This window comes from Homo sapiens, chromosome 2 (genome assembly GCF_000001405.40).
Source record: "Homo sapiens chromosome 2, GRCh38.p14 Primary Assembly".
NCBI lineage: Eukaryota > Metazoa > Chordata > Mammalia > Primates > Hominidae > Homo > Homo sapiens.
In genome coordinates this window covers 2,756,752-2,784,389 of record NC_000002.12, presented here as the reverse complement: position 1 = coordinate 2,784,389, position 27,638 = coordinate 2,756,752, and the positions used below count along the sequence as shown (strand labels likewise).

Below are 27,638 nucleotides of genomic sequence, written 5' to 3'. Positions count from 1 at the left end.
GGAGAGGGTCAGACTGTGCTGACCTGGAAGGGGAGCAGATGAGTTTTAGTTGGGAAAGGCCGAGTTTAGGAAGGAGGCTGTATAGGGAGAGGGAATAGAAATAATTCAAAATTGAGGACAGAAAGAGTATGGCATGAGGGCAGGGCTGTCAGCACACCCAGGATTTGTCCAAGAAGCCATGAGCTGTCCAGTTGGGAAAGTCCACTTTGTATGGGAAGGGGATGGGGGCATAGGAGCCAAAGGTGACAGCAGAAAGCCTCAGAGGCTGCCTGTGAGAGCTGCTCTGTGTTTCTTTTTGGATGGGGGGAGGTGATGGCCATGATGGTGTCTGCTGAGTGTCTGCTCTTCTGAGTACTTTCCAGGGGTCACTCATCAAATGGCTCCTTCACAGGTGAGAGAACAGACGCAGATGCTAAGGCCCTTGCTCGAGGTCACATGGGGAATGAGGATGTGTCATTGGTTAGTAGTCTGTCTTCAGGGACTGCTCCCAATGAAAAGTGGCTCTGTTGCCTCTCCCTGTAGGGAGCTATAGAAGGCATTCGCCACAGGTGCAACACGATAGACTTGTCTATCCATTCCATCATCATTCATTCATTCATTCATTCATTCCCTCAAAACCCTGGTCACTCACTTACTCTATGCCAGATGCTGTGCTAAGGCCAACTTGAAGGTTGACTGGGGTGAGAAGATGAACCGAGGTTCTGAGTAGAGCAGCTGAGACAGGCAGGGCAGGGTGAAGGCACCCACCATGGTGCATGTCCCCCAGCTGCTACAGGGGCTGCAGGTCATTCTCAGAGGCCTTCTGGGGCTCCTGGGCCTGCTGCTTCTCCAGTGCAGAGCCGAGAACCCTTGGGAGCCCGTATCCCATGCCCTGGGAACACTGAGAGCAGTGGTCCTCCAAGTGCTTGTAGTTTAAATTTTCCTTCTGGCTTCTGGCTTTCAGACCTTCCTACAGAGGTACAGGAGCCCATCCCAGGCCTCAGAGGAACCGCATATGCCTGGCCTGCTAGGGTCTGGCTGGTTCAGCTGGAGCCACCCTCCGTGGGGCTCTGCCTCGGTCACCCTGCATTTGGCTTTCTCCACCTCCAACTGCGTCCTCTGCTGTCTCACAGACTTCCTCAGGAAGCACTTCCCTGGTGAACGCTTGCACACAGACCTCTGCTTCAGAAAACCTCCAGAGAACCCAGCCTAAAACATCTCCCATGGGCATATAGAAGTGGCTCAGGAAGTACCAGGTGGACAAATGAATGAATGAGATAACTTCTTTTTGTTGAAAGAACGCTCCATGGTGGAGGAGGATGCACCATCGTTGCTTATGTGTTGTGTCTCCCTCTGAACGTGAGTGGAGAGAGTTCAGTGCCGGATCCTGAGAGATGCCCAGAGCCGGTCCCACCAGCTGTCCTAAGGCAAAGGGAGAGGGGCTTCTGGAGACAGGCAGGTTTGCTCAGAACTGCACCCTGTACTCCCCTCTCAGGAAGTCCCAAATATTGAGACTTTGCATAGTAAAACTTTGATAAGCGTTACCCTAAATATATATATATATATATATATATATATATATATATATATATATATATACACACACACACACACACACACACACACACACATACACACACACATATATTTCATTTTAAAATTGAATCTCTCTCCAACCTACTTAGGCATGGCATCCTTTCTGCACATAGCTCATTTAATGTCCATCATAAGTGACTTTCCATATAAAATGCTCCACCAGCACTTGTTCAGGGATAGACTCCCCTGGTGGAGGAAGAAACTGGGTGTGGTGAGCGATGCCAGGCTGGACCCTTCACAGCTGGGAGACGTGGGAGCCTCAGGGCCATTGCAGGGACTGCAGGAATGCAATGCATTCTCTGGAGGTGAAGCCATTTTTCGCAAAAGAATTATGACAAATCTACTTTCCATTAAACAACTGAACTGTGTAATTGTTACAGATTATAATTTTTTTCTAACAGGACAGGGCATAGCTGGAAATTAAGCAGATTCTATGAACAACCAAACCTAATGAATCCTGCAAAGATTGAGCCATAAGTAGTAACGTCTGGAGTTGCAGCAGATTGTGTGTCAGTGAGTGAACTGTGTCAGATATTAATTATGTAATCATGGGTGGAATGCGGTGCAGAGAAGTTACCAGACCTCCATGTCAAACGTGGCTGTCACTCCTGAGCTGTGAGCATGGCACCTGCTGGGCTGTGATGGAGTTGGGGTGGGTTGAAGGTGGCGGCAATTAGAACCCTGAGGTCGCCGCTCGGGAAATGCCAGTGCCTGATCCAAGTCACCTGGGAGGGAGGCGGCATGAATGTCAATCCTGCTAATGGACCCAGGGCAGCTCCCACACCAAGTGTCACTGATGACGGAAGTGAATTCTCCTCTTGTCTGCATGAAGATGCAAAGAGAAAGGGCAACTTTGGGATGCACCCATCATTGTGGCTGTGACTCTGTGAGCATGCACGTGCGGGTGCTCTAGGCCAGGCACTGGAGGGGCCTGGAGGTGCAGAGATACGTAAGGCAGGTGTTGATCTCAGAGAGTTTCTACTCTGGGGAGGCGGGTATGTGATAACAGCCCCCAGAGCAGGCAGTGGTTTGTAGCAGCTATGTGGTGGAGTATAGCAGGCTCTGAATCAATGTCGCAAAATTAGTGACTGCCCTGTGGTGGGCTGCACTTATTGAGATTTGGCAACAGCTCTAGTTCTTGACCTTCTTTGAGTTCTTGTTTACTCCAGGCTGAGTTCAGCAAATCTTTGTGGGATGTTCATCATTTGTTCTTCGGTTTGCCAGGCACTGAAGATAAACAGATGGGTGTGGGTTTTGATGCAGCCTCTCCTAAGAGAGCACAGTCCTCAAAGAGAGCCCTGTGTTTCCTAAGGCGACAGGTGAGTTAGGCAGGTTCTACCTTGGAGATGGGCACAGATGTATGAGAGCTTGGCAGGACACCAGGCCCCCTGGTCCATTCAGGAAAAGCTTCCTGGGGCCAGGGAGGGTGCAGAGTGTGAAGCCTGGGAGGGTGCAGGGTGTGAAGCCTGGAAGGGTATAGGTGTGACACCTGGGATGGTGCCAGGTATGAAGCCTGGGAGAGTGCAGGGGGTAAAGTCTGGGAGGGTTCAGGGTATAAAGCCTGGGGAGGTGCTGGGTGTGAAGCCTGGGAGAGTGCATGTGTGAAACATGGGAGGGTGTCGGGTGTGAGGCCTGGGAGTGTGCAGAGTGTGAAGGTGGGGGAGGGTGCAGGGTGTGAAGCCTGGGAGGGTGTAGGGCATGAATCCCAGGAGGGTGTAGAGTGTAAAGCCTGGGAGGGCGCAGGGTGTGAATCTTGGGGAGGTGTTGGGTGTGAACTCTGAAGGTGCAGGGTGTGAAGCCCAGGAGGGTGTAGGACATGAATCCCGAGAGGGTGTAGAGTGTGAAGCCTAGGAGCGTGCAGTGTGTGAATCCTGAGGAGGTGGTGGGTGTGAACTCTGGGAAGGTGCAGGGTGTGAATCCTGGGAGGGTGTAGAGTGTGAATCCTGTGAGGTTGCAGGGAGTGAAACCTTGGAGTGTGTAGCGCATGAATCCTGGGAGGTCGTAGAGTGTGAAGCCTGTGAGGGTGCTGTGTATGAACTCTGGGAGTGTGCAGGGTGTCTAGCCTTGAGAGTCGGTGAGTGTGATCTCTGGGCAGTTGCAGGGTGTGAAGCCTGGGAGGTGTAGAGTGTGAATCCTGTGAGGGTGCAGGGTGTGAAGCCTGGGAGGTGTAGAGTGTGAATCCTGTGAGGGTGCAGGGTGTGAAACCTGGGAGGGTGTAGGGCATGAATCCTGGGAGTAGAGTGTGAAGCCTTGGAGGGTACAGGGTGTGAACTCTGGGAGGTGCAGGGTGTGAAGCCTGGGAGGTGCAGGGTGTGAAGCCTGGGAGGTGCAGGGTGTGAAGCCTGGGGAGGTGTTGGGAGTGAACTCAGGGAAGGTGCAGGGTGTGAAGCTTGGGAGGGTTCAGGGTGTGAAGCCTGGGAGGGTGCAGGGAATGAAGCCTGAGAGGGTGTAGATTGTGAAGCCTGGGAAGGTGCAGGGTGTGAAGCCTGGGAGGGTGTAGAGTGTGAATCCTGTGAGGGTGCAGGGTGTGAACTCTGGGATGGTGTGGGGTGTGAATTTTGGGAAGGTGCAGGGTGTGAAGTCTGGGAGAGTGCAGGGTGTGAAGCCTGGAGAGGTGTTGGGTATGAACTCTGGGAAGGTGCAGGGTGTGAAGCTTGGGAGGGTGCAGGATGTGAACTCTGGGAGAGTGCAGGGTGTAAAACCTGGGAGGTACAGGGTGTGAAGCCACCTGGGAGGTACAGGGTGTGAAGCCTGGGGAGGTGTTGGGTGTGAACTCTGGGAAGGTGCAGGGTGTGAAGCCTGGTAGGGTATAGAGTGTGAATCCTGGGAGGATGCACAGTGTGAAGCTTGGGAGGGTGCAGGGTGTGAAGCCTGGGAGGGTGCAAGGTGTGAAGCCTGCGATGGTGCAGGGTGTGAAGGTAGGGGAGGGCGTTGGGTGTGAAGCCTGGGAGGGTGCAGTGTGTGAAGGTAGGCGAGGGTTCAGGGTATGAAGGCTGGGAGGATGCAGGGTGTGAACTCTGGGAGGATGCAGGGTGTGAAGCCTGGGGAAGTGCTGGGAGTGAAGGCTGGGAGAGTGCAGGGTGTGAAGTCTTGGAGGGTGCAGAGTGTGACACCTGAGAAGGTGCAGTGTGTGAAAGTATGGAAGGATGAGCCAGTGTGGGAAGGGAGTCAGGGGTGGTGAGCAAGGGAGAGGAGCCTGTGCAAGCAGGAGGCAGGGGGTCCTGAAGCTCCTGGTGACCAGGGAATGGGCACCAGGGTGGGCGTGACAGGAACAGAGGCTCAAGCGGAGGGGAAGCAGTCCACTTCAGGGTTCTGTGATCCAAGGAAGGAAGCTTGTGGTTCACCCTGTGCACGATGTGAACAAAGCTGGTGCTTTGTTGTCAAGAGATCTGGAGAGACTATGGTGTCAGCAGCCCACCCTGGCTGCTGTGTGCAGAGTGGACCTAAGCAGGTGGGACTGGATGTGGGAAGACCATGTGGCTCTCGAGGCAGTCTGCCTGGGTGTGATGGGCTTCTAAACCAGGCCATTGGTGGTGAGCTTAGGAAGACAAAGGAGGCAAGACATCCATAGGGGTTAAAATCAGCTGGATATGGGACTTAAGGAACATGTGAGGGATGCAGGGGACAAGAGGATGTGAAGGGAGGACACAGAGCTTGTGCTGGCTCCAGGCTTGGGCTCAGACAACTGGAAGGTAATGAGAGAAGCCAATTTGGAGGAAGGTAATGAGTTTGGTTTTGGATGTAAATTTAAAGTCCTGCAGGACACCCAACTGACTAACAAGGAATGAACAGTCTGCTTTAAATGTTAGGGCAGAGTTTGGGGCTGATCTCTAGGTCTGGAAGCCATAAGCCAGAAGGAAAGTTTAAACTACAAGCACTTGTAGGACCAGTGCTCTTAGGGTGAGAAATGCAGCGTTCCAGGATAAAGTAAGGAGGCCGTGGAAAAGAAGAACCCATGACCAGGACTAAGACATGGAGGCCAGAGGGGTGAGGTGGGCAGGGAGGGGTTGCACCACGGAGCCCACAGAGCACAGAGCCTGTGGCAGAGAGGGCTTGATATGGTCTGGCTGTGCCCCCCACCCAAATTTCATCTTGAATTGTAGCTCCTATAATTCCCACGTGTCATTGGAGGGACCTGGTGCGAGGCCATCGAATAGTGGAGATGGGCTTTTATTGTGCTGTTCTCATGATAGTGAATACGTCTCATGCGATCTGATGGTTTTATAAAGAGCAGTTCTGCACATGCTCTCTCTTGCCTGACACCATGTAAGATGTGCCTTTGCTCCTCCTTCACCTACCACCATGATTGTGAGGCTGCCCCAGCCATTTGGAACTGTGAGTTCATTCGACCTCTTTTTCTTTATAAACTATTATTAATTATTATTATAATTAATCTTTATTAGCAGTGTGAGAACAGGCTAATACAGGCCTATATAGCCTTCAGTGATTCTGGTGTCTAGGGGTCACGATGGTCCCGTCAGACCATGGCAGGGGTGCTGAGTCTCCGACAACCATTTCTTCTCCCTGTTTGTCCTCTGTCTCATGACCCCAAATATAGACCTTTGTGGTTTCCATAGGCTTTTGTCATTGAGCCTTCTCAGCGCTGGGTCTCCAGATCCATTGCTGATGCCGTGTTTCCCAGGGTTTTTCTGGATGATCATTGGCTACCAGGGCCTAAGACAAGAAGGGCAGGAGGATCAGCATGTCATGGCCTCAGGGTCCCTGTGTTGTATCAGGTGCTGTGCTGAGCATGGGGCACCTGCAAGGTCAGGTGAGATTCCCCCTTTTCAGGAATCATCATGCAACAGCAGAGGTGGTTCACTCAGGGGCCTGCTCAGCCCTAAAGTCCACAGTCTCCATGTGGCCTCTGCTGCCTCCTCCCACACTGGAGAGTAGCAGTGGGCCTGAGTGGCACTGTTTTCACACATTGCTGTCAGCACTTTACATCCTCATTCAATATTAGATGACCAGATGCCTGAGTCCATGAACCAAGGAGTAAATGATTTTGGAGCTGGAAGACATGGCTTTCTTACCAGCAACATTTCTGAACTCTTGCAGGGACTTGATTCACATAATGGTAGCTCCTGCTTGCAGAGCCCTTTGCAATCTTCCAAGCACTGTCACAGAGGGGGCTGCAATTCACAATGTTTCTGTGTGGTGGATGACAAAGAAGAAGATGGAGCTTCAGTGAGGCTGCGTGACTTTCTCCAGGTCACCTTGTCAGCAGGTGCCCCACAAGGACTTGAACTCAGATCTCTGACCCCAGGTCTCCTGGTCCATTCCCTGCACTTTACTTTGTAGCTGAAGGCAAGCTGGGGGTGAGGCCTCAGGAGCAGCAAGCTCTGGGCTGTCCTGGCCTGGTTGGCGGTACTCACAGGCAGCTTCCCATCTCCAAGATGCTTTTCTGGGTTTCTCTGTTTACAGTTAGCTCTTTTGTGAGCATTTGGCCAGATGGCACCCAGGCAAACTCGAATATCCACCAGAACATCACTCCTTCAGATTAATTAGTTTCCATTTATATGCCTCACCTCACTCAGCTTTAAATGCACACTTGGAGCTTATAATTCTGGTCTTCAAAGCCTGCCCATCTCCCTGTCTTTCTTATGCTTTTTTTCCCCTGCAATGCTTCCTGGAGCAAAACCTGGATACCCCAATGGGGGCATGCTTGGATATTCTCAGAGCCCAGTTTTTCTATGTTCTTTCTCAGAAAAAGCTACCATGAAACAAAGTGACATTCATGTCTCCTGGGCATCTTTCAGACCAGAGTTCACTTTGATATCACCTAGGCCTATTTTAAGAGGGATAAAAAGCTTTTTGTAGTTTAAGAGAACAATGATTATTAAGGAAAAAGAAGAGGGTTTAGCAAACATTGCAGACTAAGCACAGTGCCTGGATCCTGACCCACGAGCCTAGGAGGTAAGTAAGGAGTTTGTTTGATCATTTATTTATTTTATTCTGATGCGTTTATAGGTTTCCTGCCATGTGATAGACACAGGCATGTGTTTTCAGATCATGAAGGCTGTGTCTTGTTCTCAGGAATCTCACACTTCTGCAGCAGTGTGACACAGAGGGGAAGAGCTAACTCTGTTCCCAAGTCCTTTAGGTACAAGGTAGGAAGTAAGCTCAAGGTGCTTTGGGAGGACAAATGAATAGGTCTTGGGGGAGACCAGGGAATGACTCTGACGTTCTAGCATAACCTGGAAAGTGGACAAGATTAGAGGTAATAGAAGGAGGGCAGGGAAATTCTGGCAGAGAAAAAGTGAAAAGGTTAAAAGACATAAAACATGATGTGTTTGAAGGACCTCATCCATTCAGTATTGTTGGACAATAACATATAAGGGCCCAGGATCAATGAAAGACTTGGGACTCGGTAAGGTGTCTCTGAAGAGAAAGGGAGGGCCAGATTATGACATTCATTCCTCATGACTTCCATGCATCGACTGGTCCATGCATCATGACTTCACGCATTATGGCCTCCATACATCATGACTTTCATGCATCATATCTTCTATGAGTTATGGCTGACCCACGCATCATGGCTTCCATGCATCATAATTTCCATGCATTGTGGCTGGCCCGTGCATCATGACCTCTTTGCATTTATGGCCTCCATGCATGATGACTTCTGTGCATCATGACTGGCCCATGCATTATGGCTTCCATGCATCACGACTTTTATGCATTATGGCTTCCATGCCTCTTGACTTCCATGCATGATGGCTTCCATGCATCATAGCTTTCATGCATGATGGCTTCCATGCATCATGTCTTCCATGCATTATTGCTTCCACTCATCATGTCTTCCATGCATTATGGCTTCCATGCCTCTTGACTTCCATGCATGATGGCTTCCATGCGTCATGTCTTCCATGCATTATTGCTTCCACTCATCATGTCTTCCATGCATTATGGCCTCCATGCCTCATGACTTCTATGCATTATGGCTACTGTGCCTCATGTTTTTCATGCAGTATGGTTTCCATGTGTTGTGACTGTTTGATGCAACATGATGACCATGCAGCATGGGTTCCGTGCATCATGAGTGGTCTGTGTGTCATAATATTCAGGTATTATGGCTTCCATGCAGTATAACTTCCATACAATCATGACTGGTCCATGCATCTTGACTTCATACACAGGTAATTTTGCTTGCATGAAAAAATAAGCCAATGAAAAAGTAACTTTAAAAATCACAAGTGGTCATTCTTTGCCTGCATCCCCCTCCACCACTTCACCTACACATCTGTAACTAAAGAAAGCTTGTTGAATCAACCTAATTGAGGATGACCACTTCTTCATTACTCAGAAATGCAGGCATGGTTTGTTCTGTGGCCTCCAGAGCCAGATTTTAAATTCTATTTTATTATTTGTCTGTCTTCACTCCAAATCCCAAGCTCTTTCTATTCCATACACTGTCTGGGGATCAGCTCTCTGGGTACCTCTTACTCTATGTCCAGGCTTGCTGCAAGGGTTGGACCTGCATTAGTCATCACCTCTAAGATACTTGTGAATATGCCACAAGTCCCATTTGAGAATATGATATATGATGACATTGCCTGAGCCAAACAGCCCACGTGTGTGAGAAAGCTGTCTTCTCAGATATTAGCTGTGATGATGGAGTGCCAATGCCGTCAGCATTTTGGTCATCATTGCTCTATGGTCATTCAGCACCAAGGCCAGGTGCTCCACTTGCTGCTGCCAGGGTCAAGATTGTGCCTGAGTTCAAGCTCTGGCTGAGTCACTTTCTGGCTGTTTGCCCTTGGGAAGGATTCTTTCTTAGGCCCCTCAGCTGTAAAATGAGGATGGCTGTGAGGTTTCAATGAGAATACATATTAAAAGCTTAGTGGTAAATCTCACTTAGGGTAAAGCCAGTTAAAGTTTATTGTTGTTAACATAAATAGAATGTGGTCTCTGTCCTCAAGGAGCTACAGCCAAGAGTGAAAACTTGCAATTAAAAAGATAAATGGCATATTTGACGAGCGTTGGCCTAAATATATAACACAAGGAAGAGCAGAGGGGCATAGAGGCTGGGATGAGCTCTGCCTGAATGGCCAGGGAAGGAGTCCCAGGGGACCAAGGCAAGGGAGCTGAGAACCAAGGCTGGACAGGGGCCAGAGCCCGAGCACAGGGGACTTCTGGGCAAGGTTGACCACCCCAGCCCCATCCACCTTATCATGTCTTGGAGGAATGCCAAAGTGTTGGGGGAAAACAACTTGAATTGTTCTTTCCAGAATGTCGCCAAATTTTGGTGCTGTCATGTACCCCAAGGTCATAAAAGGCTTAGATGCAGCTTTAATTTTGGCTATATTAGTCCAATGTGAAGCAGTAAGGGTTATAGTAAAAAAGAGAAACTGATCCTCTCCATTTGAGATGTCTTTTTCGTTCTTGTTTTTAAGACATCAAAGAACAATAAAAGGGAAACCAAAGCAAGCTTTGAGAAGGATGGATGATTTCAGCAATGCGTTCCCCTCGTCCTGCCAGGCTGGGATGCACTGGGGCAAGGCAGGCAGGCTCAGGGCACGTTCTCCAAAGGTTTTCCATGCCATTTCCCCCTGCACACGTATGCAATATGCGTGGTTTGGATTTTATCATGGGAAATCTCAGCATATGGTGACTTGAGCCTTTCTGGAAGGTTTCAGTGGTTTGGCCATGCATGGGGAGTGGAATGGAAGCCTCCATTTCCCCAGACAGCCTATGGTAGCTGAGACCTGCTCAGTCAAGTGACAAAGCATTCCACTTGTATTCTCCCCGGGTGAGAGCAGCAAAATCTGCCCCACAGTTAATTATAAAGAGTGTTTTTCTGACCGTCATGTTTCAGGTAATGGGGACTCACTAAGCTGTTGTAAGCAGAGGAATGTGGGTAAGTCCAGTAGGGCAGTGGCGTGGTGTGGCGCTCCCTTAGCAGGAGGATGAGGAGCGCCTTTCCTGGGTGGCGCTGGGGAGGTGCTAATGGCTGGGTGGGTGAGGCATGGCTCTGAAGCAGATGTGGAGGCCCATTTTCCAGCAGTGATGCTCTGATGCCAGTCACGTGTCCAGTGATTCAGTGAATTCTGAGGCTAACCACTTGGAGTTAATGCTGAACCCACGGGCTTAGGGGCTCAGACACACAAGAATGCTCTCACTCCAGATGCCAGCTCCAAGTCCTGGGGACCACCTGCACTTCTGATCAAGCAGCTGTATATTTGAGGATTCCTACGACCCTCCTCAAGTTTGATAATTTTCGAGAGCAAGCCACAGAACTCAGGAAAGCTTTATGCTTACGATTACTGGTTTATTCAAAAGGACAGGAATGAATGGCCAGATGAGAAGCACATGAGGCAAGGTCTGGGGAGGGGGCAGGAGCTCCGTGCCCTCACTGGGTGCTCCACCTCTGATATGGTCTGGCTGTGTCCCCACCCAAATCTCATCTTGAATTGTAGCTCCCGTAATTCCCACGTGTTGTGGGAGGGACCCAGCTGGAGATAGTTGAGTCACGGGGGCGGTTTTCCCCATACTGTTCTCATGGTAGTGAATAAGTCTCGCGAGACCTGATGGTTTTATAAGGGGAAATCCCTTTCACTTGGCTCTCATCCTCTGTTGCTGCCACCATGTAGACGTGCCTTTTGCCTTCTGTTATGATTATGAGGCCTCCCCAGCCACGTGGAACTGTGAGTCCGTTAAACCTCGTTTTCTTTATAAATTACCCAGTCTCAGGTATGTCTTTATCAGCAGTGTGAAAACAGACTAATTCAATGCCCCTGCGTCTGCCTGCATTCAACAACCCAGAAGCCCCTCAAGCCTCCTTGTTTCGGTATTTTTAGATGGAGTTTCATTGCTGAGACACGGTGGATTCAATCATCGGCCGTTGGTGATTGAGCTCAACCTGTAGTGTTTCTTCCCTTCAGGGAGGATGGGGCTGGGGTGAAAGTTCTAACCCTCTAATCAGGGGCACATGCTTGTTCGTCTGGTGATCAGCCCCCTTCCTGAAGCCCTCCAAGGCCCCCTCACAGTGCGTCACCACATTAGCCTAAACTCATGTATGTTAGAGGGGGTTCTCTGTGAATAACCAAAGTCACTCCTACCATTCAGAAAATTCAAAGCGCTTAAGAGCGCCATGCCAGGAACCAGGGACGAAGACCAAATATATTTCTATTGTGTCACAGGAGGGCCAGGATAAAGGAAACAGAGATTGTCGACTAGATTTCTGACTCAGAGCCCTGGTCTAAGTTTGGCTGGAGGCAGCAAATAAAGTTTAGAGAATACCTGAGCCAGTGATTGGGGGATGAAAACAACCATTTGGAGCTTAAAAAAAAAAAAAAAGCAAAACGCCCATTCTTCCCAATTAAAGAAGTAGTAGCCCCAGAGCTTAGAGTAGACCGAAAGGTGATCGACAGCCCAGGGTGTTTTTGTTTTTGATGTGGGGACAACCATAAGCCAATTACCCTGGAATTAGCATAAAAATAGGCATGGAGGGGAGGCCTCCTGGACCATCTCGTGGAAGCAGAGACTAATGATGGCAGGTGCAGTACCTGGACTCTCCCATCGCTGCAGCCTTTGCTGGGAGTCATCTGGCTCCGGTGAGATGGCGTAGGGTGGGGACACTTGCCGTGGAGAAGGGATACTTGCCAGGGGCGGGGACGCTTGTTGTGGGCAGGGCTATGGCAGAGGCAGGGCTGGCACCGTCCAGAAGACGCCTGCTTGGTCCTCGCTGTGCCTGCAACTCCTTTGTTTCTTTCTGTGACTCGGGATGCTGCTCTCTTGGTTCCCAGTTGTCCCTTCTGCCCACAGAAGTCTTGTTTCCAGTTTAGCAGTCAGCCTACCAGGAGCCGTGCCTTCTGGAGGTAACTGGCTTCTTACATCTTCCCAGCCCTGCGTTCACCCAGGGACTCTGCCAGGTCTGAGGCTCCACTGTCGTCCTTTTCCCGCCTGCAACCAGCCTCACACAGGTTTCCATGGGAATGAGGTGGGAGAAGAGACTGGCATTCCCGAGAACCCGTGACATGCTGCCTGGTCTTTGGGTAGATATTTTCTCTTTACTGCAGAGGGAGGCTTCTTTGCGCTTTCTCTATTGTCATCTTGACATTTGAGGCAAGTCTGGCATAAGTAGGATGGGTGTCTTTAAATCCAATTTACAGATAGGGAAAGTGAGATTCAAAGAGATTCAGTTTCCACCAAGGTCTTTCAACTAATCAAATGATGGAGCCAGGACTCAACATGGATAGCTGACTGCACGTTTCATGCTTTTCCATGATTCCACAGTTGAAACCATCCTGTGAAGAGCTGCGTGCTACCTGCATTTTGTTATGCTCAGTGCAGGTTCAGCTGATGCTGTTGGGTAAATCCATGTCCGCTGGAGATAGAGCGAGTGCCCCGTCATCTGGAAATAAGGGGCGGCTTCACTGCCCTGCATGGTAGGCTGTGCTCTGCTTGTAGGAGAAAGAGATACATCAGATGAGCATGAATTAATATTGAGGCCCAAATTAATTTTGTCCCAGTGGCAACCTTGGGAGCTGAATGAATCCCACTGTCTGCTTCACCCAAGGCCTGGGACCTTTGGAACAGGGGCTCCACCCCACGTCAGGTGCCTTTGTCAACAGATGTCCTGGCTGTGCTGGCTTGGAACAATCACCATGCCTTTGAAAATGATCTGTAAGATAACAAAGTCAAAAGGATAATTCTGTCATATCTTTGGTTACCTATAAGATTTACCTGTTATGGATGCATTCAGATGCTAAGGTGAGGGCGAATTATCTTGAAAAGTGTGGCCAGGTGCAGTGGCTCACACCTAGAATCTCAGCATTTTAGGAGGCCGAGACCAGTGGATCACTTGAGGTCAGGAGTTCAAGACCAGCCTGTGCAACATGGTGAAACCCTGCCTTTACTAAAAATACAAAATTAGCTGGGTGTGGTGGCGCACGCCTGTAGTCTCAGGCTGAGGCAGGAGAATCTCCAGCCTGGGTAACAGAAGAGACTCTGTCTCAAAAAAAAAAAAAAAAAAAAAAAAGTGTCTCCTTTCTTCTAAAATCTAAAAATAAGTCAGAGCATGGGGTCCTGTAGTCCTAAATCCAATCCTTGACTTCTTATTTAAAAATAAGGACATTTCTGATACATTTTACCTGTATCTGTTTGTTATGGAGATGGTGCTGAACACTGGTGGAATGAGTGGGACTCATTAAAGCCCTGTCTTCAAGGTAGTTAAAATCTGGGAGAGATAAAGGATTGTTTTGAATAACAATAGTAACTGGCAGACTGTGAGATGCACTATACTGATGCTCTAATACATTGCTGTGCAAGTCCATGGAGAAAGTGCTCAGACGCCAGGAGCACAAAGAAGCCTTGGCCTAGCAGAGCATCGGAGGGCGCATGGGTGCTGTGCAGTGAGGATCGGGGCGGGGAGTGGGTGCTGGTGAGGAGGGCCCATGAGCCAGAGGCCCAGTGCAGAGCTGCATGGAGCAGGGGATGCCTCTGTGCCTGGCTGAAGTCAAATTCCAAAGGACAAGGTTGAATCTACAAAATCTGTACCTGACCTGGGCAGAGGAGGGAAGACCTGCCGGGCAGCCTGTGCCCAGAGCCACTGCCCTTGCTAGAGCAGCGGCCACAGGGTGGTGTCCTCTGGAATGACCGGGTCTGGCTGGGTCACATGTGGCCGGCATGGGGAGGTGCAGCTGGCCTTGTAGGCGCATCACTAGACGCCCACAGGCAGGCAAGAGTGCCTATCTGGGCTTGTCACCAGACAGTTTGTGGAGCTGCCAGGGATGGGAGGAGGGCTTGGGTTACCCTGGGTCAGATCACAAGGCTTTCCATATTTAGCTGGGAGCATGGGTTTTATTCTGTTGGCTGTGGGATCACTGCTGAGAGGTTCTGGGCAATGAAGCACACAGAAAATAATGATGTTCTGCAGCCTTCCAGCCTTCCTAGAGTGCTGGTTCCACGGCTTCTCCCAGGCCTGGGTCTGTGTCTCCTGTGCCTTCCGATCAGGTCCCAGGTCTCGCCGGCCCAGGGTTCCGTGCTCAGCGGGGATGCTTGGCGGAGACAGAAACTGGCCTTTGTTGGGGCGGCCAGCACTCATCTCCCCTCCGGGCCGGATCTGAGTTCTGCCCGGTTTGAGCCCTGATTAATGAGGGCCGTTAATTAGAGCGCTGTATTCCCAGTGTCATGGACCTGGCTGGGAGCCAAGACCGGAAGGCGCGGATTCATTGTCAGAGCGGATCTGAGAAACTGGGGTGCCCTGAGGGGTGGAGGCAGAAGCCAGGCTGAAAGGATGCCGTCACCCTCCTTGCCACCCTGACCGCTCGCCATCGGCCTGCAGGCTCACGCTTGGTGTTCCCTCCAGCTCTGCATGGCCCCTGACTACAGCCATTTTTCCAGCTTCTTTCCCATGGTGGTGGGGGCAGTGAGTCGAGGTAGGGGTTTCTCTGCATATAGAGGGGGCTTAGGAGCTGAGGGACTAGGAGGAAGGAGGCGTAGGGATAGTGTAAATAGGGGAGGGGAGTATAGGAGGATGGGGGACATAACTGGAGGGGGACCTGGAGAGAAAGGGGACCTGGATGGAGAGAGGAGAACTGTAGGGGAGGGGTGTTCTGGAGGTGGGGAGGTACCTGGAGGGAAAGGGGCCTGGATGGGGGGAGAGGTGTGGAGGGGAGGGAGGTTCTGGAGGTGGGGAGGGACCTGGAGGGAAAGGGGCCTGGATAGAGGGGGAGGTGTGGAGGGGAGGGAGGTTCTGGAGGTGGGGAGGGACCTGGAAGAAAGGGGCCTGGAGGGGAGGGAAGGTGTGGAGGGGAGGGAGGTTCTGGAGGTGGGGAGGGACCTGGAGGGAAAGGGACCTGGAGGGGGAGGGGAGGTGTGGAGGGAAGGAATTTTCTGAAGTTGGGAAGGGACCTGGAGGGAAAAGGGCCTGGAATGAGAGGGGAGGTGTGGAGGGGAGGGAGGTTCTGGAGGTGGGGAGGGACCTGGAGGGAAAGGGGGCCTAGACGGGGAGGGGTACCTGGAGGAAGCACTGACCCCAAGGGAGGAGCGCAGGGTCTGCTGTCATGGCCAGGGAACACCCTGGGTGAGGTCACCTTGGGGCAGTAGCTCTTGAGTCTGACTGTGTGTTGGGCCCTGCAGAGCTCCCAGTCCCCTTGTCCAGGTGACAGTCAGTCCTGAGCCCTTGGGGGCGTCGTGGCAGCACCCAGCAAGGTCATGGGTAACGCTGTCCTGGTGATGCCATGTGCAGCCACACCTGGGAACCCTGCTTGGGACAGACGGGTGCCTCCCAATCCTCCCACATGTGGATCTGGAGGAGGCCCAGGACCCCAGGGTCAGCCCTCCATATTGGCTTTAATGTCACCTGCCTATGTGGTAAGATTGTAATAAACCCAATATACCACCCCATCACCCTTCCCAGAGATTGGAAGTTTCCACCATTACAATATTTTTCCCATTCATCCACTCCGCAAACATCTGCTTATCACGGTTCTCCTGTCATATGGTGTAGGGAGCTCAGAGCCCTCGAGAGGAGGAGTCATATGCCCTGCAGAGGTGGCACTGAGGGAGGAGAAGACAGAGGCGTGGGCAGGTGATGCCTGCATCCAGGACCATCTTGTAGTGGAGGTGTCCATCCAGCATGGGGGTGAAGGACGCTGGGAGGAGAGGGATGGAGAAAAGAACGGCTTCTAGGGGAGGGGGCCAGACCCCAAGCAGCCAAAAGAAGAGACACACAGCCTGGGCTGCAGAGCAGCCTGGACGAACCCACCGGGCAGGGCTGGCAGGACAGGCACAGGTGAGGAGGGGCGGAGGGCACAGAGTGAGCCAGGCAGAGCCTGCTGGAGGCCGGAGAGGGCCACATCCTGGCAAGTGGGGCCTCACCTCATGGACAGCCTGGCATGGGTGGTGGGACTGGTGTGGGACTTGCAGGGGTGAGTCTGGATGCTGGAGCTCCCGGGAGACCTGGCCAGGCAGGTCACGAGGCCAAGGAATCCAATACTCCCACAGCCCAGGGACAGTGTCCTGCGCTCCTCATTTCCCTTTTAGTCCTCACCTGATTCCTGCTAGAGCAGTGCTCACCCCCATGGGGAAACTGAGGCTCAGAGCAAGAGTGGACTTGCATCAGGTCCTGTATGCAGCTAAGCCATCAACCAGGGAACTGTCCTCTGCCTGAGGGTCCAGGAAGAAGCACGGTGCCTCAGCAGCAGCAGAGCCGGACCCCAGGGTTCCAACGAGAAACCTCATCTGGTGAGACCGTGCAGTCTAGGGGTCTGTCTTGGGGAGCAGGGGCTGGTGTCGAGTGGGAGCCTGGCCCAGGGGAGGCCTGGGCCCTGCAGGAGATGGAATGACATTCCCGGAGGAGGGCCTAGGAGGAGCCCAGGAGAGGAGCTGGGCTTGGTCAGCACTTGGACATCGGAGCTTAGGAACCCCCGCAGGGTCTGTGGCCTCCCTGAGGGCGTGGGGCATCCCGTGGGTATCCCAAGGGGCACCGATCACAAGTTGCTCTTTATTAGCACAGGTCACACAGACATGGCAACAGGACCTGGGCGCTCACAGGTTTCTGCTGGTCCTGGTGTCCAGGCTGCATGGGGATCCCTTGTCCTTAATCAGAATGGAGGGAAACAGGGTCGGGGGGAGGAGTTGTGAGGGAAACCAGGTCCCTCCCTGCAGGGAGCTCAGAACGCAGCATGGAGCTGTGAAGCTGAAACACTGGGGAGCTGCATGCAGTGAGGCCGCAATTCAGCAGCAGTGCAGTGGGTCCACCCAGGGGGTAAGCAGGGGTGTGGGGGGGTGCCCATCTGGGATGTGCAGGGCCCGCTGGGACCCATTCTCTTCTCAGGCTGCCTCCACCATGGTGGCTGCAGGCGGGATCCATACGTCCTGTGCTGCCCTGGCCTATTCTTACTGGTAAAGGAGTGGTTTGGAGGAAAAACAAAAACCTTAATTCAACGGAGGGCTTGCTATGGGTGGATTTTTGCTCCCAGATGGGAAGTATTTTAAGTCAATGAGCCCTTCCTGTCCTGCCAACATGTCAGCGAGGAAACACTGCCTCCTCTGCACCACCCTGGCTTTCTTAGAAAAAAAGACCATTTGGAGGAAGGAATTCAAGAAGTTCGTTGAAACCATCACTGATACATCTCCAGCACTGATACATCTCCAGGGCTGCCGTGCGGTGGGTGAGGAAGGACAGTGTGAGATAGGCTGGACACAGTGAAAATGGCAGCTCAAGAACAACGGATCACATCATTTTCTTCCTAGAAGAATCTGGGTTTGGGTTGCAGCTCCACTCAGCAGGAGGCCCGGGAGGAGCTGGGAGCATCCAGTCGCGAGGGGAAGGGGCGGTGTGCACTCAGGAGTCTCCTCACAGGAGCATCAGACACTCTCATGCCTTAAGATGATTGCGGCCGCTTCCTAACGGTGCTGTGAGAGCACTTCCGCCACGCCTGAAGTTTGAGCAACACTGAACCCTAGAAGCTACTGAGTCCTCAAAGGGCAGGGCCTGGTGGCAGTGGGCCAGCCATGTGGTGACACCATCCGGAGGTTGCCGGGAGGTGTGCAGAGTGCCCCACTCCATGCTGGGTGGCTGGGCAGTGGGTCCCACCCTTCACTGCGCAGGGCAGTCAGCCGTGACTGCTGATTCCACCAGGCCTGGAGGGGCGGTCCTTGAGCGTGGAACTCTTGTTATCCAATGGCACCAGCGACTCATCGTGACATCAGGGACTCCAACCGAGAAAGGCTTTAGAGGCTGCCCTTGCAATGGCTCCCCCGCATCTCCTCCTCTGTGCTCCCTTTTCCTGCTCACATGCCAGGAATTGACTGAGGGACTCCGTGGCGCTTCGGGGCCAGCTCACAACACCCACGGGGCAGCTGCAGACTGGGGAGACCTCCCTCACGGGATCTAATCTTCTCGCAGTTCCTGGGACTCACGGGTATGGGGAAGGAGGGGACAGGGGCTGCCCTCCAGTTCTGACCTGAGAACCTGGTGAGGTGGGGTGTCCCTTAGTGGGATGGCAAGACTGGAGAGATGTGGAGAAATTTGATCCAGATGCCTTAGGTGTGAGGGGTCTCAGGAATTCAAGGCGGGCTGTGCAGACGTCCATTAGACTTGGGGAGCTGGAGCTGCGCCCACCGAGGTTCCCTCCAGGGAAGGTCATGCCCGGTGCCCATGGCAGCTGCTGCCCAGGCCTGGCCACCTGCGGGGTCTTCGGCACAGCTCCCAGGACCCCATGGGAGCAAGCTCATTGTTCCGCCCTCCCCACCTGCTGTGGCTCCTTTCTGTGACAGGCGCTTGTTCTCCAGGGAAGCCTTTGGGACCCTCCCAGGCAGCCCCTCTATAGGCCCCTCCTGTATCTGTGGGGAGAAGAGGGCAGCAGTGTCCCCTAGGAGAGGAGCGGAGGCAGCCTGGGAACCAGGCCACCATGGAACCACCCCTAGCTGGCCATCAGGGAGAGGACTGCCTGGCTCAGCCTGCACCGTGGGGGGCAGCTGGGGCTGCCTGGCAGCCTTGCAGGGTCCGAAGTGCCTCTTGGGATGGGACGTGGTATCGCGTTAGCAGGTTTGACCTGGGTTCCCTGTGTGTGGAGGGGCACGGGCTTGTCAGAAGCAGCAAGGTGCTTGTGTGAAGGACTGTGCAGGTGTCACCTCCAACTCAGGCCTCTGCTAGGGACGTTCCAGCCTCTCTCTCCCTGTGTCCTACGTGCCTGAGTGCCACAGAGTCACCCTGGGAGTAGGCTCTGTCCTCTACGTTTCTCTTTGGCCACAGGAATGTCGGGGAGGATGTCTTCGTGTGGTTATCACCAGCGGCCCCTGACCGCTGGTTAGAAGGGACACTTTTCTGGTGCTCGTAGGCACGCGGTTCCTAACAGCGGGGAAGCCTTCTGCAAAATGCACCTCATTGTGCAGACATCACGGAGTGCACTTACCCACCCCCAGATGGTTCAGCCCACGGCACGCCTGGGCCACGTGGTGCAGCCTGTGGCTCCTAGGCCACAAGTCTGAACAACATGGTGCCACACTGAATAATGCAGGCAGCTGTAATACAGTGGCCACTGTTCATGTGTCGAAACATAGAAACGTTACAGCAAAAATATGGTGCTATCGTCGTATGGGACCACCATCATATACGCAGCTCATTATTGACAGAGAGATTGTGGTGCATGACTGAATTTCCAAAAGTGTTCTCAAGGTCAGAACAGGAAGAATTCTCCCTCCCTCCTTCCCTCCTTCCAGATTCCCTCTGCAATTTTTTCCTCTGCGCGACCTCACTGGCTTTATTTATTTTGAGAAAAATGAATTCCAAAGGTCACTTTGAGTCCTTTCTTGTGAGAAGTCCTTTCCATAGACAGAACAGGCCAGAAGTGACCATTTCTCATTTTTATCTGCTCACAGGTCAGGAGAGACCCAGTTAATCTCAGGAAGGCTGAGAGCCCCCCACTGCTCTTCAAGGCCTTCCAGGTTGAAGGGGTCTCAAGTCCTGTGTGGCTCCCAAGGCTCACTCTGCTGACAGCCAAAACCTCTGGAGTGGATCCATGCTTGCTCCTCTGGAGTGGATCCATGCTTGCTGGCCTGGCCAATTGAGTGGGGACTCGGGGCCCACCCTGGTGGCCCATGGGTCCCTGAGTGTGCTGGAAGCATTCCTGCCCTGGTTCTGGATCCCTCCGCCTTGCAGGGCCAGAGGCTAGGTGGGCCTGGGCCTATGCCAACTCTCAGGGTGAGCCCAGGTGACTGAGCCTCCGGACAGTGGCTCTTGGTATCCTGATCCCAAAGCTGGCCACCCTCCTGTAGAGAATTGGATGAGCTCCCGGAAACTGAGTGGGGGAAATTTGATGCTTTGCCGCTTTTCAGGGTTCCTTTCAGGCAAGAATGGGAAGGGCTAATGGAGGGCACTTGGTAAGTGCGGGTTCCAGCAGCCACAGGCTCAGCAGCCCTCCTGAGCACAGCTGGAGGGAGGCCCTGACCCCACGCGTGAGGAGGCTTGTGAGTCGTTCCAGAGCCTTCTCTGGCTGAGCAGTCATAGGTGGGAGGCGGCTCCCTGCGGGGGGTAGGAGAGTGACCGCGGAGAACCTGCAGCTGAGTCTTAGGCGTCTGTGGGGCTGGTGTCCCAGCCTGTTCCAGGTGCAGACATGCCCGGCTTCCCAGCCGCCCCTACCGTGCAGCTGCGCATTCCTTCCTGAGTCAGCCCCATGCGTCTGTGTCTTTCCCTCAGTGGAGTCACCTGCGGTGCACCCAGCCGGACCCTCTGCTAGGGTGACCCTGAGTCTGGTTCTTAGCACCCCCCAGGCTATGCTGGTCAAGGGGCATCCCCTTCCTCTCGCAGTACGCAGACACAGCAGCGGCCTGAGTTGGGCCCTTCTGCTCCCACCCCCGCCTGCCCAGCCTTTCAGAAGGTGAGGTCTGGAGGCGGCCGCGCCACCCTTGACTGCACGTGTCCCAGGCCACGGCTTATTTGATTTTCTTAGTGCTCATGGTTTTGGTTTAAAGGAAAGGATTCTCAGAGGTGAAGACCAGAAGCCATGAGTGGAAAAACCCCACACAGCAGCTGGCAGCTTCTTCTCTGGCCGGCATTCATTTTGCATTAAACTCAAAATCTCAGCCTGAGGTTTGTCTCTGGGAAAGGCAAAGGCAAGAGTGCCTTCCTTCCCATAACTGAGCTTTTCTGGGAGGAGGAGGGCTCTGCGCTCAGGGATCCACCCCCTTGAGGGCCCCCTCAGGGCCCTGAGGCTCAGAGTGGGAGACATGCCCGGACACACAGAGCCCACTGAAGCTGCAAGCCCGGCCAGCCCTTGGCTGGCTTGAAGGGAGCAGCGTGTACTTGGCAGCTGGGCGCCCCCCGCATGGGGAAAGGGGATCTGATGAATGACCCACGCCTCCATGAGAAATAGGTTAATGCATCATCTCACCCGGGTATTGGCATTCTCGTAGAGGAGCGGAAGACAGGAAAAGCCTCTGAGAGTGAACCTCCAGCTTTGATTGTCGGAAGGATGAACGGGGACCTCTGGCCTCACCCTTCCGGGAGCCCCTCTCCAGCCCTGGATCTGGGTAGGAGGTGGGCATACTGCCTGTGCCCCTCTCCAGGAAGGTCTCAGGTGGGGCCCAGAGAGGCTGTAGGTGACTGCTGGTGACCGGGTGTGAGCTGCGTGGCCGTTGTGCTTTGCTGGGGCTGAGGCAGCCACGCCAGAGGTCCCCACTCAGGCCAGGCCTGCTGGGACCCCAGGGGCACCTGATCTGCCTTTGGGGCTTTGGGGCACCCCTCCTCCTGGGGCTCTTGGACCAGGGTCCCAGAGTATGACAGGGGTGCTTGGGGAAGCAGGCTCTGGAGTTCACTGCTACTTGGCTTGGTGAAACCAGATCCCCTCACACAACCCAGAGGGTGAAACCCCTATTGAGAAAACGAGGAACTATACACATGGAAGCTGACAGGGCCCTCAAACCCCGGGCGCTGGGCCTCCCGTCACGTTCGCTGGGGGCTCTCAGAGAGGCTGAGTGTCCCTGAGCTCACCCTGGGCTCCAGCTGCAGTTCTGCTCAGGGGGCCCAGGGGCTCGCTCTGATCTTCCTGACGGCATGGCTTAGGCAGGGGCCGTCTGGTCTCTCCCCAGATCTCTCTTCTACCTGTGTCTCTGTTCTTGCAACTGCCAGGAGCACTGCAAGCTCCCAGATTGGGCTGAGTGGGGCCAGGTCCTTCCTGCTGTCTTCGCTGTCTGAGATTCACTGCACCGGGCTCCCCTGCCCTCTGCAAGTTCTGAGCAGGCCTCCGGCGTTGGTACTGAAGTTCAAGCTCTAACACTTCCTGCCTCCAATCAGCAGCCTGAAAACCTTCCTTCTTTCACTGGGCTTCCCGCTAAAGCCCAGCTCTCGAGTTAGCTGGGTTGGCCATCAAGAGGCTACGTGGACCCTTCTGCCTAGCACTCCATAATCGTATTTGGTGAGTGTCTGTGTCAGGCACTGTACTAGGGGCAGAGGCTTAGGAATAGGGAAGGCGAGCCATCAGATGACCATGTCAAGTGAAAAACAGTGTGTGGTGTGAATGTGGGAAGAACACACTCACTTCTACCTAGAGGGGTTGAGGAAAGCATCTCAGGCAGTTCTAGCTGCCTGGCAGCATCCTGGGAGAAGCACCCTATGAATGACACACGCCTGTCAGAGGCCTGCGGGATGCAGGGTAAGGGGGTGGGGTGAGGGTTATTCAGCAACAGGAACCCCAAGGTGAGACACAGTGTGGGGCTGTGAAGGACTGGGGCCACGTGCCCACAGCAGGATACGGCAGGACACCATTAGAAGGGTCTCTTTAGATCCCATCCCAGAGGCAGAGAAGGGCTGCAGGGTTATAGGGTCTTGACACTGGGGAAACTCACTTCTTATCCATCTGCAAACCCCGTCAGTGCCACCTCCCAAATCAAGCTGAGCACGACATCCCTTGACCTCACACTGGTCATTGCCCTGTCAGGGCCAGTATCCTCTGTGGAATGGTGTGTACAGTGCCCATCTGGCCTTTCTGCTCTGGCCCTGCCCTCCTGCAGCTCAGAGGGGCCCTTGGAAAGCCAAGGCAGCTGTGCTTTCCTGCAGCTTGGCACCCTCCAAGGGCCCCACCTCATTTACAGTAAAGTCAAAAAATGAGGTCCTGAGGTGCACCAGTCCTGCACCACAGGCCCCTGCCACCCCCACTCCTAGGTCCTATCCCTGACCTCTGGCCTCTCTTCAGCAGCAACAGCCCCAGCTCTTCCCAGACAAACTGCACCAGCTCCTCCCTTGGGGACACTGCACTGGCTGATTTAGCCATGGAGATGCCCAACAGTTGTAATGATGCCCCTACCTCCTTCCAGTCTTGGATGTAGTGTCACCTTCCTGGTCTGTGGTGGGCACTCTGTGGGGGTCCCCATGGCTCCTGCCTCCTGTGTTCAGATCCTGGTGTAACCCAGCCCTCTGGTGTGACACGGCCTGTGTCTTGCTTCCACCCTATAGAGTGGGCTGGCTGTGATGTCGTGCCACACTTGTGAGTGCATGATGTCATGAAAGACTGCATTTTCCCAGCAGACTCACTCTAGGGAAGTGACCACCTGGAGCAAGTTTGCTGGAAAAACAGAATCTTTGATAACATCATGAATAACTTTGAATAACCAAGTTATCCCCATATAGAAGGAAATTCTGCCAACAGCCTGAGTGGGCTTGGAAGGGGATTCTTCCCCAGTCAAGCCTCCAGATGAGAACACAGCCCGACTGACATCTGGATGCTGTTTCATGTAAGCCTAGGCAGAAAACCCAGCCAGCTTGACCAGACTCCTGATGGCAGGACAATGAGTTCATAAGACGGCTCTTTCCAGCTGCTGAGTTTGTGATAATTTGCTTCACAGCAATAAAAACATTCTATGCATCTCATTTATTTTTCTTGTTTCCTTACAATGTAGGCTCAATGTCTGTGTCTGCTTTGCCATATTGCCAGTGTGTAAGGGGGTTCCCATCCCACGGTGGGCATTGCGTGAATGCTTCCTTCATGAAGCTCTGTTTTATTGATTTCAAAGACAAGTGACAGACAAAGAGAGAAGCATTTTGATTAACAAAATCCAAAATGTTTTTGCTTTGCAGATACAGCAGTGGGGTCCCATGGTCACTTTATTTTTTCTGTAATCTCATTTAATAGCCATTCCTTTCCTCAAATAGAGACACAGGATGTGATAATGAGAAGGGGACTTCATGACCACCTAAGCTGACCTCCTTTACAGATGAGGAAAGTAGGTCTCAGAGAGAGGAAAAGACTCATTCAAGGTCACATAGTGAGTTAGTGAATATTGTGCACAGACAATAAAACAGACACAAACAGAAACAAAGGCATTTCTCTTAATCCCCAGTTCAGGGCTCTTACCCCGATACCATACAAAAATCCAAGTATTCAGTAGCTGAAAAGACCAGCTCTTTTGTCTGTTTTAAAAACAGGTACAATGCTGAAATAAGCAAATTATATGTTGTTTGTAAATTTAAATTTACTATTAATGTGATGTAATTCTAGTATTAAATAAAGCGATTTTCCTAGGGAATGTCTGCACTGGCAACAACTACATAATAGTAATTGTGAGGAAAATGAGACATCACATGGTCCAGGCCTCCCGGCCAGTGACTACATGTAGTGCATCTCAAAGAAACTGATTTCACATTGGGGGCAATAACTATTTATTTCTTTATGAGTGCAAGCGTGCCTTTTAGTTTATGGAAAAGTCAGCCATATTTTCTCATTCTTTTACAGTCAACCATCTATATTATCTATATGATGAAATTTGATAGACTTTATTTTGCAGCAAATAAGTCTGTGGATATATTACAAATACAATTTCAAACAATGCATTACAAATTATGTAGGCAGAGATGATTTAATATTTAATGGTATATGTCTAATTAATACAATGTGATAGAATGGATCAAATTCAAGCAGTGTAGCCTTTTAGGCAATGAATCACTTGCTAGGTATCGTCATAGATATTTGATCAATATTGCCATTTAAAATAGGCTTATGTAGTGTCAGATGGGTAAATAGTAATAACACAGGCTTGGTATTTATTTTTGTCCACTTTTATTATCTCAGCGAAAAGATATTTCATGCTCATCTTTGGTCTGGTAATTTTGGAAAATGACAGAGTTAACATGCAGCTTTTTCTCCTGCTCCTTCAAAGATGCATGGCATTTGCTGTTGGTTATGGGAAGTGAGTGAAGGTGTCCTGCTGGGATTCCGTCGTCAGTACAGATGCACACGATCCCCTGTCCCTGTGTGCACTCCCTCTTCCTGAGTGCTCAGAGGAAGTGACTGCAGGCGTTCTGAGCACGCTCATGTGCCTGGCACCATGCGTGGGAGCCCCTTTGGTGCCTCTTTAAGATCTGGGTCAGAGGCTGGTAGAGAGAGAAATCAGGACCAGGAGATGCCTGGATGGCTGCCCCCATCTCCGGCCACCTGTCCCTAAACTCTGTCTGGCCCCGAGGCCGTTCTTCTCTCTGTGCCTTCTGCTCTCTTCTGCCAGTGCTGGGCTTCACCTGGACTCACCCCTATATCATCTCATCCACTCTGGCCTAGCTTGCCTTGGCACCATTTTCTGCTTGTGCATGTTTTGCTCCTGCATGTTTGGCACATGCTCCTGCACCCAGGTGTGCATCCCTGCTCTGTTGTCCATGGTAGGGGGTGCTCCTGAGCATCTGGAACCACCTTGTCTAAAGCCTGACCCCGCCCCAGGCCCACCAGTCCCACACATGTCCCGACAGCCTGGGTCTGTTTCACGTGTCCAAGTTCATCAAATCCAAATTGGAGCAGAGGAGGGCGGTTCCAGTTTGGGATTAATTCAGCAGATTTACAATCCCCTTTCTCTTAGGAGAACAGCCCCTCTCTACTTTCATCCGTATCTGCCAGTCTCAGCTCCACCTCTAAGTGACAGTGACCCTTATGGGGTGTATTAGTCCACTCTTACTCTAGTATAAAGAACTACCTGAGACTGGGTAATTTATGAAGAAAAGACGTTTAATCGACTCACAGTTCCATATTCTGTACAGGAGGCATGGCTGGGAAGGCCTCAGGAAACTTACAATTGTGGTGGAAAGTGAAGGTGAAGCAAGGACATCTTCACATGATGACAGGAGAGAGGGAGAATGAAGGGGGAAGTGCTACACACTTTGAAGCCATCAGATCTCATGAGAACTCACTATCACAAAAACAGCAAGGGAGAAATCTGCCCACATGATCCACTCACCTCTTACCAGGTTTCTCTCCCAACTTTGGAGATTAAAATTTGAATGGGGACACAGAGCCAAGCCATAACACAGGGCTCACTAGAACCCTTCTGTGGGATTGATAAATGGAGGCCAGGAGTGGGGATTTCTATTTTCTCTGTCTCTAAGTGTGAGAAATGAGTCAGAGTTGCTCGTGGAGCCTACTGGGAAGTGAAACCAAGAGTTTGCGGGCCCATGTGGGGGAACTGGGAGGATTTAGAATCCAGGTTCTCCGGTGCTGTGAGCTACTCTGGTGTCCTTTCTGGCTGCAGCCATCAATAAATCCATCTTTTTCTGAATACTTTGGTGTGGATGCTTGCTACTTGTGGGCATTCATAACCATCCCTGTGTGGTGTGCATCATCACCCCCATCTTACAAAAGGATAAACTGAGGCTCCCAAGGTGTGCAGAGTCATATAACTATTTTGCAGCACAATGAGATTCTGCCCTTCTCTTCTAAGTCTCTGCTCTTGGCAACCGGAGTGTCTCTTCTCGTCCTTCCCCTGTTTTGTCCACAGAGAGGAAGAAGCAGAAAGAAGAGGAATGGAATTGCCCGAGAGGAGCACACAGAAGTAGCACTGTCCTTAAACATTTCCATGTTGATGAGGGAAGGTGGGAGCCTGTAGCCTCATTAGTTGTGAAGCTTGCTGTGCATATTTCATGAGAGAAACTTTAAAGACATGACCCTAAAGAGGCAGAAACTTTCAATTTTTCCTTCTTCTGCTCTCTGGAGAAATAGGTCTGCTGTGGTTTGGAATCCGACACCTGCAGCCTTGGCCTCCTGGAGGGTAGGGTGCTGCAGGTGACAAGCCCCAAAGGAAGTGAGAGTGGTACCTGTTTGAGGAAAGGCAGATGCGTTAGGTCTCCCAGGAACCTTGCCTCCTATCTTAATCTCACTTTGGGATATGAAAGAGCAGTGCTGGACCGAAATTACTGTCAGCCACACCTAAGCAAGAGTGTGAATGGACTCAGAGAGAGGTCCCACCCCGGGGGCATAAAGATGCCTCTGCAGACTTGGGCCTGCTCTGAACTCTGCCCACGGCTGCGCGGATGCCAGGCCCCTGGTCCAAGCTGCCTCGGCTGTAGGTCCTTCTTGGGGATACATGCAGGAGCCCTCTGTTCCCATCCATGTTGCTACATCTATAATGGTTGCCAAGCCATCATTTTTAAAATAGCTTTTTATTTTGAAATTAGTTTGAGATTTCTAAGATGTTGCAAAAATAAGGCAGAATTCCTGTGCCCCTCCACCCAGTTTCCCACAGAAATCCCTCGGCTCTCAGCCCCTTCCCAGGCAGGTCAGAGACCTGTCTTGTGGGCAGCCCAGTCCCAGTGACTGGTGTGGTGGGGTTGTAAAGACCCAGGTCACTGGCCTTGCCTC

General features: G+C 52.2%; 1 long non-coding RNA gene across 2 annotated transcripts in view, besides 2 other annotated features; it reads left to right on the top strand.

The window, feature by feature from the left end:
* LOC105373390 (uncharacterized) overlaps nt 1–27,638 on the top strand; it is a 133,531-nt gene that overhangs the window by 56,482 nt on the left and 49,411 nt on the right. The window lies entirely within an intron of this gene.
* Nucleotides 12,176–12,693: an enhancer, noted in NCBI's record as "NANOG-H3K4me1 hESC enhancer chr2:2775469-2775986 (GRCh37/hg19 assembly coordinates)". NCBI's record gives its function as "activates a minimal SCP1, AML or CMV promoter by ChIP-STARR-seq in naive H9 embryonic stem cells {active_cell/tissue: H9 hESC(naive)}" and the evidence as "EXISTENCE:reporter gene assay evidence [ECO:0000049][PMID:30033119]".
* Nucleotides 26,118–26,377: an enhancer, noted in NCBI's record as "active region_15220". NCBI's record gives its function as "activates an Ori minimal core promoter by ATAC-STARR-seq in GM12878 lymphoblastoid cells {active_cell/tissue: GM12878}" and the evidence as "EXISTENCE:reporter gene assay evidence [ECO:0000049][PMID:35858748]".